Source organism: Homo sapiens, chromosome 11 (assembly GCF_000001405.40).
Source record: "Homo sapiens chromosome 11, GRCh38.p14 Primary Assembly".
NCBI lineage: Eukaryota > Metazoa > Chordata > Mammalia > Primates > Hominidae > Homo > Homo sapiens.
In genome coordinates, this window is record NC_000011.10 from 18,645,717 (window position 1) to 18,661,167 (window position 15,451).

The 15,451-nt window shown below is 45.2% G+C and overlaps 2 annotated features.

Annotated features, from left to right (window-relative positions):
- Positions 3,330-4,050: an enhancer, noted in NCBI's record as "H3K27ac hESC enhancer chr11:18670593-18671313 (GRCh37/hg19 assembly coordinates)". NCBI's record gives its function as "activates a minimal SCP1, AML or CMV promoter by ChIP-STARR-seq in primed H9 embryonic stem cells {active_cell/tissue: H9 hESC(primed)}" and the evidence as "EXISTENCE:reporter gene assay evidence [ECO:0000049][PMID:30033119]".
- Positions 4,051-4,770: an enhancer, noted in NCBI's record as "H3K27ac hESC enhancer chr11:18671314-18672033 (GRCh37/hg19 assembly coordinates)". NCBI's record gives its function as "activates a minimal SCP1, AML or CMV promoter by ChIP-STARR-seq in primed H9 embryonic stem cells {active_cell/tissue: H9 hESC(primed)}" and the evidence as "EXISTENCE:reporter gene assay evidence [ECO:0000049][PMID:30033119]".

The window sequence follows — 15,451 nt, forward strand, 5'->3', positions numbered from 1 at the left end:
ACTCTGGTGCCAGCTTGGACAATATTCTTTTATGCACTCCTTTTTAGTTATCCCCACCTGCCCAGTTCCCTTTTTTGGTCGAGACATTTTAACTAAATTATCTGCCTCCCTGACTATTCCTGGACTACAGCCACATCTCATTGCCACCCTTCTTCCCAACCCAAAGCCTCCTTCGCATCTTCCTCTCATATCCCCCAACCTTAATCCACAAGTATAGGATACCTCTACTCCCTCCTTGGCGACAAATGATGCACTCCTTACCATCCCATTAAAACCTAATCACCCCTACCCTGCTCAACGCCAATATCCCATCCCACAGCACGCTTTAAAAGGATTAAAGCCTGTTATCACTTGCCTGTTACAGCATGGCCTTTTAAAGGCTATAAACTCTCCTTACAATTCCCCCATTTTACCTGTCCAAAAACCGGACAAGCCTTACAGGTTAGTTCAGGATCTGTGCCTTATCAATCAAATTGTCTTACCTATCCACCCCATGGTGCCAAAGCCATATACTCTCCTATGCTCAATACCTCCCTCCACAACCCCTCCATAACCCATTATTCTGTTCTGGATCTCAAACATGCTTTCTTTACTATTCCTTTGCACCCTTCATCCCAGCCTCTCTTCGCTTTCACTTGGACTGACCCTGACACCCATCAGGCTCAGCAAATTACCTGGGCTGTACTGCCACAAGCCTTCGTGGACAGCCCCCATTACTTCAGTCAAGCCCAAATTTCTTCCTCATCCATTACCTATCTCGACATGATTCTTCATGAAAACACGTGCTCTCCCTGCTGATCGTGTCCAGCTAATCTCCCAAACCCCAGCCCCTTCTACAAAACTACAACTCCTTTCCTTACTGGGCATGGTAGGATACTTTCGCCTTTAGATACCTGGTTTTGCCATCCTAACAAAACCATTATATAAACTCACAAAACCAAACCTAGCTAACTCCATAGCTCCTAAATCCTTTCACCACTCCTCTTTCTGTTCCTTAAAAACAGCCCTAGAAGCTGCCCCCACGCTGGCTTTCCCAACTCATCCCAACCCCTTTCATTACATAGAGCCAAAGTACAGGGTTGTGTGGTAAAAATTCTTACACAAGAGCCGGGACCATGCCCTGTAGGCTTTTTGTCCAAACAATTTGACCTTACTGTTTTAGTCTGGCCATCATGTCTCTGTGCAGTGGCTGCTGCCACCCTAATACTTTCAGACACCGTCAACATCACAAACTATGCTCAACTCACTCTCTACAGTCTCATAACTTCCAAAATCTATTTTCTTCCTCACACCTGACACATATACTTTCTGCTCCCCAGCTCCTTCAGCTGTACTCACTCTTTGTTGAGTCTCCCACAGTTACCATTGTTCCTGGCCTGGACTTCAATCCAGCCTCTCTCATTATTCCTGATACCACACCTGACCCCCATGACTGCATCTCTCTGATACACCTGATGTTCACTCCATTTCCCCATATTTCCTTTTTTCCTGTTCCTCACCCTGATCACACTTGGTTTATTGATGGCAGTTCCACCAGGACTAATCACCACATACCAGCAAAGGCAGGGTATGCTATAGTATATTCCACATCTGTCATTGAGGCTACTGCTCTGCCCCCCTCCACTACCTCTCAGCAAGCCGAACTCATTGCCTTAACTCCAACCCTCACTCTTGCAAAAGGACTAGGCGTCAATATTTATACTGACTCTAAATATGCCTTCCATATCCTGCACCACTTTGCTGTTATATGGGCTGAAAGAGATTTCCTTACTACACAAGGTCCTCCATCATTGATGCCTCTTTAATAAAAACTCTTCTCAAGGCCGCTTTACTTCCAAAGGAAGCTGGAGTCTTACACTGCAAGCGCCATCAAAAGGCATCAGATCCCATCACTCAGGGCAACGCTTATGCTGATAAGGTAGCTAAAAAAGCAGCTAGCTTTCCAACTTCTGTCCCTCACGGCCAGTTTTTCTCCTTCTCATCTGGTCACTCCCACCTACTCCTCCATTGAAACTTCCACCTATCAGTCTCTTCCCACACAAGGCAAATGGTTCTTGCACCAAGGAAAATATCTCCTTCCAGTCTCACAGGCCCATTCTATTCTATTGTCATTTCATAACCTCTTCCATGTAGGTTATAAGCCACTAGCCCGCCTCTTAGAATCTCTCATTTCCTTTCCATTGTGGAAATCTATCCTCAAGGAAATCACTTCTTCGTTGTTCCATCTGCTATTCTACTACTCCTCAGGGATTGTTCAGGCCCCTTCCCTTCCCTACACATCAAGCTCGTGGATTTGCCCCCACCCAGGACTGGCAAATTGACTTTACTCACATGCTCGAGTCAGGAAACTAAAATACCTCCTGGTCTAGGTAGACACTTTCACTGGATGGGTAGAGGCCTTTCCCACAGGGTCTGAGAAGGCCACCGTGGTCAATTCTTCCCTTCTGTCAGACATAATTCCTCAGTTTGGCCTTCCCACCTCAGTTTCTCAGGCTCTTGGTATTCAGTGGCACCTGGTTTTACCTCAAACTGCCACCCTTAAGTCTCTCTTTAAGTGGATAGAAGATCTTCAGTGACAAAGTACACTCCAATACTTTCACCGTGATGAAGTCCTATTCTTTACTTTTATACTCACTCTTATTCTGGTTCCCGTTCTTATTCCACCCTCTACCTCTCCCAGCTATCTCCACCACACTATCAATCTCACTCTCTCCTAGCCATTTCTAATCCTTCTTTAACAAACAGTTGCTGGCTTTGCATTTCTCTTTCCTCCAAAATTGCTGAGGCCTCAATTTACTCACTGCTGAAAAAGGAGAACTTTGTATATTTTTAAATGAAGAGTGTTGTTTTTACCTAAATCAATCTGGCCTGGTATATGACAACATAAAAAAATCTCAAGGATAGAGCCCAAAAACTTGCCAATCAAGCAAACAATAACATTGAACCCCTTTGGATACTCTCTAATTGGACGTCCTGGGTACTCCCAATTCTTAGTCCTTTAATACCTATTTTTCTCCTTCTTTTATTCGGAACTTGTGTCTTTCGTTTAGTTTCTCAATTCATACAAAACCGCATCCAGGCCATCACCAATAATTCTATATGACAAATGCGCCTTCCAACAACCCCACAATATCACCCCTTACTCCAAAATCTTTCTTCAGTTGAATCTCTCCCACTGTAGGTTCCCACACCACCCCTAATCCTGCTCGAAGCAGCCCTGAGAAACATCGCCCATTATCTCTCCATACCACCCCCAAAAATTTTCGCCGCCCCAACACTTTACCACTATTTTGTTTTATTTTTCTTATTAATTTAAGAAGACAGGAATGTCAGGCCTCTGAGGCCAAGCTAAGCCATCATATCCCCTGTGACCTGCACGTATACATCCAGACTGTCTGAAGTAACTGACGATCCACAAAAGAAGTGAAAATAGCCTTAACTGATGACATTCCACCATTGTGATTTGTTCCTGCCCCACCCTAACTGATCAATGTACTTTGTAATCTCCCCACCCTTAAGAAGGTTCTTTGTAATTCTCCCCACCCTTGAGAATGTACTTTGTGAGATCCACCCCCTGCCCACAAAACACTGTTCCTAACTTGACCGCCTATCCCAAAACCTATGAGAACTAATGATAATCCACCACCCTTTGCTGACTCTCTTTTCGGACTCAGCTCACCTGCACCCAGGTGAAATAAACAGCCTTGTTGCTCACACAAAGCCTGTTTGGTGGTCTCTTCACAGGGACACGTGAGACAAAGAGAAAATGAGATGAGAAACAGCGGGGGCAGTGAGCCAAGGCCACCACTGGGAAGTCTGGCAATAAAGGAAAAATGTCAGGACAGTAGTGTGAAAGGGAAGCTGGGTCCAGGCAAACTATCCTCAGAGGAAGGATGAGAGCACACACGCAGGCTGAAGGGAAAACACAATAGTAAGTGTCTAAAGTGGCTGGGTGCGGTGGCTCATGCCTGTAATCCCAGCACTTTGGGAGGCCGAGGCAGGCTCATCACTTGAGGTCAGGAGTTCGAGACTAGCCTGGCCAACATGGTGAAACCCCGTGTCTACTAAAAATACAAAAATTAGCTGGGCGTGGTTGCTTGCACCTATAGTCCCAGCTACTCGGGAGGCTGAGGCAGGAGAATCACTTGAACCCGGGAGGCGGAGGTTGCAGTGAGCCAAGATTGCGCCACTGCACTCCAAACTGGGTGACAGAGCGAGTGTCCATCTAAAAAAAAAAAAAAAGTGTCTGAAGAGATAAGAGAGAGGCCATAAGAAGTAAACTCCAAGATAGTTAACCGGCACTGTGTGTGCAGGGACCAATTCTTGTTTATCTCCGTATCTGTAGCCACTGGCACAGGGCCAGTCTTATAGAAGGAGCTCAGCAAATGCTAGTTAAATGAATGCATGGAGAAGGGAGGGACACTTTTCCTTAGAGAAAAGCATAAAGAAAGAGGAAGGATGAAAACCAAGATACTTTGAAATGGACATGCAGCCATCACATGAGATAACTTTCATTTTCTTAATCAGGTAAAAGACAAAACCATTTGGTGAAAGCAGGGACTGAGGAGAATGGGTCTGGCTGGTGACGAGAGCTCCTTGGTGCCTTGAAGCAGCAATTCCAATTTTGAGATAGAACATTCAGACATAAAACCACCAGTACACAAAGTTATATGTACAAGGACATTTATTGCAGATTTATGTGTATTGGCTAAAACCTAGAAACAACCCGGATGCCTTCAGTAGGTAAATGATAGAGGAAAACTATAGCATACTCCACCCATGCAACATGGCAGGTAGTGTCTCAGTCTGAGTAGAATCAAGAGAGAAAAACCACTTAGTAATTCAAACAGAGAAGTTTAACATGAAGAATTATTAACTATAACAGAAGATTGGAGTAATGAGGGATTGACTAGTAAGAAGTAGAATTCTAAAGAATACAGGAAGCAGGCTGCGTGCAGTAGTGGCTCATGTCTGTAATCCTAGCACTTTGGGAGGCCGACGCAGGTGGATCACCTGAGGTCAGGAGTTTGAGACCAGCCTGGCCAACATGGTGAAACCCCATCTCTACTAAAAATACAAAAAACTAGCGGGGCATGGTGGTGCATACCTGTAATCCCAGCTACTCTGGAGGCTGAGACCAGAGAATCGCTTGAACCCAGGAGGCAGAAGTTGCAGTGAGCCGAGATCGTGCCGTTGCCTTCCAGCGTGGGCGACAGAGCGAGACTTCGTCTCAAACAAACAAAAAGGAAGCGGTTAGGTTAGGAAGCAACCACTAACCCCATAAATGAGATAGAAGATCCAAGGAAGACCTACGGCTGAGATCCAGATCTTGTTGGAACGGACATGGCTGTGGCTCACTAAGTGACAGAAATCAGTAGAACTAACTGGAAATCCATCCTCTGAAACGTGTTAAGTATCTGTCTTCTAGGGTGCTGGGGAAAGCTGTTCACAGGGAGATGTCTCACTGTAGGAACTCTTTTATAAAAACTCCCTGGGGGAGAGTACCGGGAGGAAGCTGCGGCTGCTGGTGCACGAACCGCCATGCATTGCAGGAGCCAGAGGACTAAGACACCAAGTCGCCTGCAAGGAGACGGCCAAGGAAGCACACAGGAACCAGGAAGCAAGAGACTCTCCTTCAATGTCTGTAGCGCCCTCTACTGACAAAGCCTCAGCATCACTTGCAAAGGAAAATATTTAAAGGGCCCAGAACTGTTATTTACAGAGCCATCAAAAAGGATGAATTTGGAAGAGGCAATAAATTGGCAATGGGCACATAAGGTCATACACACAATGACACTTATTGCAGGATTTTTTTGTAATGTTTAAGCCCTAGAAATAACTTGGGTGTTCTCAATAAGAGAATGATTGACTAAAATCATGGTATACCCATCCCACTGGATATTGTGGCAGCTACTTAAAATATATGTTAGAGCCATATCAAGTGCTCTAGAGGGGCTTCTGTGAGCTTTGGCAAAATGAAACCAGAAATTTCAGAGGAAAGCCTATGATTTTTTTTTTTTTCAAGAGACAGGATCTCACTCCATCACCCAGGCTGGAGTGTAGTAGTGAGATCATAGCTCACTATCACTTCAAATTCCTGAGCTCAAGCAATTCTCCTACCTCAGCCTCCTGAGTAGTTAGGACTATAGGTGTGTACCACCACACTTGGCTAATTTCTCTATTTAGTATAGAGATGTGATCTCACCGAGTTGCCCAGGCTGCTGGAACTCCTGGCCTCAAGCTATCCCCCTGCCTTGGGCTCCCAAAGTGCTAGGATTACAGGCTTGAGCCGCTGTGTCTGGCTGATTCTATTTTTGTAAAGTGAACAAGAATTAAACCCTTATAGATAATTAGGTATGTTTGAGCATGAAGAATAAGCAAGGAGAAAGCGGGTGAAGAGGAAAGAACGAGTGAGGTAAGAAAAAAAAAAGTTCCCAGCAAAAATACAAGGATAAAATAATGGAAAACTAGTACAAAAGTGAATTAAAAATACTTGTTGCCAAGTGTTCTTTATACAGCAAAAATGTAGAGATAGCTTAAATGTTCAGCTACAGAGAGTTTTTTTTATTTTATTTTTTTATTTTTTATTTTTGAGAGAAGTGTCACTCTTGTCCCCCAGGTTTGAATGCAATGGCTTGATCTCCGCTCACTGCAACTTCTGCCTCCTGGGTTCAAATGATTATCCTGCCTCTGCCTCCCAAGTAGCTGGGATTAAGGTGCCTGCCACCATGCCTGGCTGATTTTTGTATTTTTTAGTAGAGATGGGGTTTCACCATGTTGGCCAAGCTGGTCTCAAACTCCTGACCTCAGGTGATCTGCCCGCCTCGGCCTCCCAAAGTGCTGGGATTACAGGCATGAGCCACCATGCCTGGCTATAGGGAGTTTATTAAATTAACTGTGGTATGCACATGTGATACTCTATAACCACTAAGAATAATGTTGTACATGAAATAGTGTTTAAGATTTATATTAATAAGTGAAAAAATTAGGTGATAGGTGAAAAAAATAATAGTGTAGTATAAGCTCATCTATTTACATGTTTTTGTTTTTGAGATGGAGTCTTGCTCTGTTGCCCAGGCTAGAGTGCAGTGATCTCAGCTCACTGCAACCTCCCTCTCCCAGGTTCAAGCGTTTCTCCTGCCTCGGCCTCCTGAGTAGCTGGGATTATAAGTGTGTGCCACCACGCCTAGCTTATTTTTGTATTTTTAGGAGAGACAGGGTTTCGCCATGTTGGCCAGGCTGGTCTCAAACTCCTGACCTCAGGTGATCCACCTGCCTCAGCCTCCCAAAGTGCTGGGATTACAGGTGTGAGCCACCCCACCTGGCCTATTTATATGTTTATATATGTGTAGAAATTGCCCAGATGAATCCACTCCAAAATGACAATGGTAGTTATTTATGAGCGTAAGATTGTGCGTATTATTCCCTGCCACTTTTGACTTTTAAGAAATCATTTGGCCGGGCGCGGTGGCTCACGCCTGTAATCCCAGCACTTTGGGAGGCCGAGGTGGGCGGATCACGAGATCAGGAGATCAAGACCATCCTGGCTAACACGTGAACCCCGTCTCTACTAAAAATACAAAAAATTAGCTGGGCGTAGTGGTGGGCGCCTGCAGTCCCAGCTACTCGGGAGGCTGAGGCAGGAGAACGGCGTGAACCCGGGGGGTGGAGCTTGCAGTGAGCCGAGATTGCGCCACTGCACTCCAGCCTGGGCGATAGAGTGAGAGTTCGTCTCAAAAAAAAAAAAAAAAAAAAAGGAAATAATTTAATTGGAGTATAACAAACATACTAAAAATGAACAAATTGAAAGTATACAGATAAATTTTCACAAATTCAACACACTTCAGTAAGCAGATCACAAAAAAGAGCATTATCAGTACTCACAGAAGCCTCTTTCTGGTCATTACCCTTACTCCAAGGAAAAGCACTATCTTGATTTCTAACAACGTAGATTTGTTTTGTCTAGTTTTGAATTTTCTATAAATGGAATCAGGCAGTATATGTCTTTTGTGACTTCTTTTGCTCAATATTATGTTTGTGAGATTCATCTGTATTTCTGTGTGTAGTTGTAGTTTATTGATTCTCATTGTGTGTAGTATTCACTGCCTGAATATATCACTATTTTCTGTCGATGGATATTTGGGTTGTTTCTAGTCTGGAGCTATTATGAGTTTGGTGCTATGAATCTTCTTGAACATGTGTTATGGTGAATATATATACATGTTTATTTTGGGCATATTTCCTCCTTTTATTTTATTTTATTCTATTTTATTTTATTTTTTTTGAGACAGAGTCTCACTCTGTCGCCCAGGCTGGAGTGCAATGGCGCGATCTCTGCTCACTGCAACCTCCACCTACCGGGTTCAAGCGATTCTCCTGCCTCGGCCTCCCAAGTAGCCAGGACTACAGGTGCCCACCACCATGCTTGGCTAATTTTTGTATTTTTAGTAGAGATGGGGTTTCGCCATATCAGGCTGGTCTCAAACTCCTGACTTTGTGATCCACCCACTTCGGCCTCCCAAAGTGCTGGGATTACAGGCGTGAGCTACCACACCCGGCTCCTCCCTTATTTTTAATGAGAGCAAACATTTATTGAGTGTTCAATATGGGTAAACCTTAGAAGGTTCTAAGGACTTTACATTTTAGTTCATTTGATACTTGCAATTTATAGCCATGCGTGGTGGCTCATGCCTGTAATCCCAGCACTTTAGGAGGCTGAGGTGGGTGGATCACCTGAGGTCAGGAGTTCAAGACCAGTCTGGCCAATGTGGCGAGACCCCATCTCTACTAAAAATACAAAAATTAGCTGGGTGTGGTGCAAGACTCCTGTAATCCCACTACTCAGGAGGCTGAGGCAGGAGAATCACTTGAACCCGGGAGGTGGAGGTTGCAGTGAGCTGAGATCACGCCATTGCACTCCAGCCTGGGCGACAAGAGTGAGACTCCATCTCAAAAACAGAAAAACAAACAAAAAAAACCTTGCAATTTTTGAGGCTAGAATTATTTCTCTCTTGATTAAGAAAATCTTAATCTTTCTTGATTAAGAAAATCAAGGTACAGGGATGTTAAGCAACTGGCTCAAAGTCACACAGCCGAAGAGCAAGGATTTGGATCTAGGCAGAGTCTGACTCCAAACCATGCAGCATTAACTACTTTTTATTTTTTTTTAGATGGAGTCTCGCTCTGTCACCCAAGCTGGAGTGCAGTGGCACGATCTTGGCTCACTGTGAGCTCTGCCTCCGGGGTTCACGCCATTCTCCTGCCTCAACCTCCCAAGTAGCTGGGACTACAGGCACCTGCCACCATGCCTGGCTAATTTTTTATATTTGTACTAGAGATGGGGTTTCACCGTGTTAGCCAGGATGGTCTCGATCTCCTGACCTCGTGATCTGCCCGCCTCGGCCTCCCAAAAGGCTGGGATTAGTTGTGAGCCACTGCGCCAGGCAACTGCTAGTTAACTACTATGTTTCAACTTGTATTAACCATGCTTTCTTTTCTTTTTTTTCCCTTTTTTCTTTCTTTTCTTTTTTTTTTTTTTTTGAGGCAGAGTCTTGCTCTGTCACCCAGGCTTGAGTGCAGTGGTGTATAGTCTTAGTTCACTGTAGCCTCAAACTCTCCCAGCTCAGGTGATCCTACCACCTCAGCTTCCCAAGTAGCTGGGACTGCAGGCATGCACCACCATGCCTGGCTAATTTTTGTATTTTTTTTGTAGAGATGGGGTTTCACCATGTTGCCCAGGCTGGTCTTGAACTCCTGAGCTCAAGTGACCCACCTGCCTTGGCCTTCCAAAGTGCTGGGATTACAGATATGAGCCACCACATCCAGCCCCCCTCCCTTTTTTAAAAGAAGAGAAAGCAAAGAAAAAAGGCTTTTAAACCTCAAAGATCCTTATTCTGCTGCCTTCCTAGAATCCGTAGACAGGAATTCAACTATGAACCTGAATTGACTTTAGGGGAATATCTCTCCAGCCTAGAAAGAGAAGCACCTGGAATTTTAAAATAAGAATCATAGACTTTTGGGTTTAAGGATTTTGAGAAAGCCGGGAACGGTAGCTCATGCCTGTAATCCCAGCACTTTGGGCAGATCGCCTGAGGTTAAGAGTTTGAGACCAGCCTGGCCAACATGGTGAAACCCCATCTTCACTAAAAATCCAAAAAAAAAAAGGACTGTGAGAAGCTCTGACATGTGATCACTTGGCTCTGTGCTCAAACAACCCCAAGGATGAAAGTGTCTTTTCTTTTTCTTCACCTAAACCTCCCGATTGCTGGGACTACAGGCATACGCCACCATGCCAGACTAATTTTTTTAATTTTTTTTTTTTGAGATGGAGACTTGCTCTGTCGCCCAGCCTGGAGTGTAGTGGCATGATCTCTGTTCACCACAACCTCTGCCTCCTGAGTTCAAGTGATTCTCCTGCCTCAGCCTCCCGAGTAGCTGGGATGACATGCATGCACCACCATGCCTGGCTAATTTTTTGTATTTTAGTAGAGATGGGGTATCACCATGTTGGACAGGCTGGTCTTGAACTCCTAACCTCGTGATCCTCCCGCCTCGGCCTCCCAAAGTGCTGGGATTACAGGTGTAAACCACCTCACCTGGCCCCCCCACCACCTTTTTTTTTTTTTTTTTTTTTGAGACAGAGTCTCCCTCTGTTGCCCAGGCTGGAGTGCAGTGGTGGGATCTTGGCTCACTGCAACCTCTACCTCCTGGGTTCAAGCTATTCCCCTGCCTCAACCTCCCAAGTAGCTGGGACTACAGGCATCTGCCATCATGCCCGGCCAATTTTTTTTTTTTTTTTTTTTGAGACAGAGTCTTGCTCTGTTGCCCAGGCTGGAGTGCAGTGGCATGATCTCAGCTCACTGCAAGTTCCGCCTCCTGGGTTCACACCATTCTCCTGCCTCAGCCTCCTGAGTAGCTGGGACTACAGGTGCCCGCTACCATGCCTGACTATTTTTTCTATTTTTAGTAGAGACAGGGTTTCACCGTGTTAGCCAGGATGGTCTCGATCTCTTGACCTCGTGATCCACCTGCCTCGGCCTCCCAAAGTGCTGGAGATTACAGGCATGAGCCACCACACCCAGACATGCCTGGCCATTTTTTTTATTTTTAGTAGAGACCGAGTTTCACCATGTTGGCCAGGCTGGTCTTGAACTCCTGACCTCAGGTGATCTGCCAGCTGCTCGGCCTCCCAAAGTACTGGGATTATGGCATGAGACACTGTGCCCAGCCATTTATTTTATTTTATTTTATTTTTTTTGAGACACAGTCTTACTCTGTTGCCCAGGCTGGAGTGCAGTGGCACGATCTTGGCTCACTGCAACCTCTGCCTCCCAGGTTCATGCGATTCTCCTGCCTCAGCCTCCCAAGTAGTTGGGACTATAGGTGCACCCCACTATGCCCGGCTAATTTTTGTAATTTTAGTAGAGGTGGGGTTTCACCATATTCATCAGGCTGGTCTCGAACTGCTGACCTTAGGTGATGTACCTGCCTTGGCCTCTGAAAATGCTGGGATTTACAGGTGTGAGCCATCGTGCCTGGTGTATTTTTTTTATTTTTAGTAGAGATGGGATCTTGCTATGTTGCCCAAACCAATCTCAAACTCCTGGGCTCAAGAGATCCTCCTGCCTCAGCCTCCTGAAGTGCTGGGATTACAGATGTGAGACTACACCTGGCCAAAAGTTTCCTTTTCTCACCACTGAAAAATTCTTACTTCTCTTGGGTCAAAAACCTCCCTCTGCCTCCTTCCATCCTTTCTTTGCTCCAGGAGCTGTGCTCTGAAGCCACCTGCTCTGGCTGTCCCCTCTTCTGTCTTCTGTACTTCCTATACCCTTCCCCATCACCATATAAAGACATCTCCCTGTCTCACTTAGGTCTTCTTGTTACTGGAACGGGTCCCAATCCAGACCCCAAGAGAGGGTTCTTGGACCATGTGCAAGAAAGAATTCAGGGTGAGTCCATAGAGTAAAGTGAAAACAAGTTTATTAAGAAAGTAAAGGAATAAAAGAATGGCTCCTCCTTTGGCAGAACAGTGGCATGGGCTGCTCAGCTGAGTACACTTATAGTTACTTCTTGATTGTATGCTAAACGAGGGATGAATTATTCATGTATTTTCCGGGAAAGGGGCAGGGATTTCCGGGAACCAAGGGTTCCTCCTCTCTTTAGACTATATAGGGTAACTTCCGGATGTTGCCATGGCATTTGTAAACTGTCATGGGTCTGGTGAGAGTGTCTTTTAGCATGCTAATGTATTACAATTTGTGTATAATTAGCAGTGAGAACAACCAGAGGTCACTTTCATCATCATCTTGGTTTTGGCGGGTGTTGGCTGGCTTCTTTATGGCATCCTGTTTTATCAGCAAGGTTTTTGTGACCTGTATCTTGTGCCAACCTCCTATCTCCTCCTGTGACTAAGCATACCTAACACCTGGGAATGCAGCCTAGCCCCTATTCAAGATGGAGTTGCTCTGGTTCAAAATATGTCTCTGACATTCTCATCACTGAAACTACCTTTGTACAAATTATAACTGAGAAAATTATGACAGTGAAAGAGATCTGACCTAACTGACTCTTTCTTGCTTCTAACCTCCAAGCTGTCCATGTTCATTTCTAGGCGTAGGCTGAACTAACTTTGTGAGGAACTTAGTTTATAGGTTAACTTTAAGACAAAGACAATAACAGCCCTTTCCCAAAATAAATCCTCTTCCTGCCAGGTGATTAGACTGCCTTTGCAGGACTAACAAATTAGCCACAAGATTAGAAATTATAGCTTTGGAGTCCAATAGCTGGAGGCTGCAAGATTCTAAACCTCCCCAAATTGCTCCTGGGGGTATTATCTTAGGTTACAGTAAAACCTAAGATCAGTGCTTGAGATAGTCTGCAGATCCTGTACTCGATGGATCAGCTGACACCACCCAGATCAATAAAATGGCTCATCAGGTCTTGTGGCCCCCACCCAGGAACTGACTTACTGCAAGAGGACAGCTTCAGCTCTCTATGATTTCATCTCCAACCTGACCAATTAGCATTCGCCACTTCCCGAGCCTCTACCCACCAAATTATTCTTAAAAATTCAGATTGATTGGTTCCAAGATGGCCAAATAGGAACAGCTCCAGTCTACAGCTCCCAGCATGAGCAACGCAGAAGACAGGTGATTTCTGCATTTCCAACTGAGGTACTGGGTTCATCTCACTGGGGCTTGTCAGACAGTGGGTGCAAGACAGTGGGTGCAGCCCACAGACTGTGAGCCGAAGCAGGGCGAGGTGATGCCTCACCCAGGAAGCGCAAGGGGTTGGGGAATTCCCTTTCCTAGCCAAGGGAAGCCATGACAGATGGCACCTGGAAAATCCGGTCACTCCCACCCTAATACCATGTTTTTCCAATGGTCTTAGCAAACGGCACACCAGGAGATTATATCCCGCGCATGGCTCAGAGGGTCCCACGCCCACAGAGCCTTGCTCACTGCTAGCACAGCAGTCTGAGATCGAACTGCAAGGCGGCAGCGAGGCTCGGGGAGGGGCACCCGCCACTGCTGAGGCTTGAGTAGGTAAACGAAGCCACCGGGAAGCTCGAACTGGGTGGAGCCCACTGCAGCTCAAGGAGGCCTGCCTGCCTCTTTAGACTCCACCTCTGGGGGCAGAGCATAGCTGAACAAAAGGCAGCAGAAACTTCTGCAGGCTTAAATGTCCCTGTCTGACAGCTTTGAAGAGAGTAGTGGTTCTCCCAGCACAGAGTTTGAGATCTGAGAATGGACAGACTGCCTCCTCAAGTGGGTAGCCTAACTGGGAGGCACCTCCCAGTAGGGGCCGACTGACACCTCATACGGCCAGGTGCCCCTCTAAGACGAAGCTTCCAGAGGAAGGATCAGGCAGAAATATTTGCAGTTCTGCAGCCTCTGCTGGTGATACCCAGGCAAACAGGGTCTGCTGTGGACCTCCAGCAAACTCCAACAGACCTGCAGCTGAGGGACCTGACTGTTAGAAGGAAAACTAACAAACAGAAAGGACATTCACACCAAAATCCCATCTGTACGTCACCATCATCAAAAACCAAAGGTAGATAAAACCGCAAAGATGGGGAGAAACCAGAGCAGAAAAGCTGAAAATTCTAAACATCAGAATGCCTCTTCTCCTCCAAAGGAATGCAGCTCCTCGCCAGGAATGGAACAAAGCTGGACAGAGAATGACTTTGACAAGTTGAGAGAAGAAGGCTTCAGAAGATCGGTAATAATAAACTTCTCTGAGCTAAAAGAGGATGTTCCAACCCATTGCAAAGAAACTAAAAACCTTGAAAAAAGATTGGATGAATGGCTAACTAGAATAAACAGCATAGAGAAGACCTTAAATGACCTGATGGAGCTGAAAACCATGGCACGAGAACTATCTGATGCATGCACAAGCTTTAGTAGCCGATTCGATCAAATGGAAGAAGGGGTATCAGTGATTGAAAATCAAATGAATGAAATGAAGCGAGAAGAGAAGTTTAGAGAAAAAAGAGTAAAAAGAAATGAACAAAGCCACCAAGAAATATGGGACTATGTGAAAAGACCAAATCTACATCTGATTGGTGTACCTGAAAGTGACAGGGAGAATGGAACCAAGTTGGAAAACACTCCTCAGGATATTATCCAGGAGAACTTCCCCAACCTAGCAAGGCAGGCCAACATTCAAATTCAGAAATACAGAGAACGCCACAAAGACACTCCTTGAGAAGAGCAACTCCAAGACACATAATTGTCAGATTCACCAAAGTTGAAATGCAGGAAAAAATGTTAAGGGCAGCCAGAGAGAAAGGTCGGGTTACCCACAAAGGGAAGCCCATCAGACTAACAGCTGATCTCTCAGCAGAAACTCTACAAGCCAGAAGAGAGTGGGGGCCACTATTCAACATTCTTAAAGAAAAGAATTTTCAACCCAGAATTTCATACCCAGCCAAAAGAAGCTTCATAAGTGAAGGAGAGATAAAATCCTTCACAGACAAGCAAATGCTGAGAGATTTTGTCATCACCAGGCCTGCCTTACAAGAGCTCCTGAAGGAAGCACTAAACATGGAAAGGAACAACTGGTACCAGCCACTGCAAAAACATGCCAAATTGTAAAGACCATCGAGGCTAGGAAGAAACTGCATCAACTAACCAGCAAAATACCCAGCTGACATCATAATGACAGGATCAAATTCACACATAACAATATTAACCTTAAATGTAAATGGGCTAAATGCTCCAATTAAAAGATATAGACTGGCAAATTGGATAAAGAGTCAAGATCCATCAGTGTGCTGTATTCAGGAGACCCATCTCACGTGCAGAGACACACATAGGCTCAAAATAAAGGGATGGAGGAAGATCTACCAAGCAAATGGAAAACAAAAAAAAGCAGGGGTTGCAATCCTAGTCTCTGATAAAACAGACTTTAAACCAACAAAGATCAGAAGAGACAAAGAAGGCCATTACAT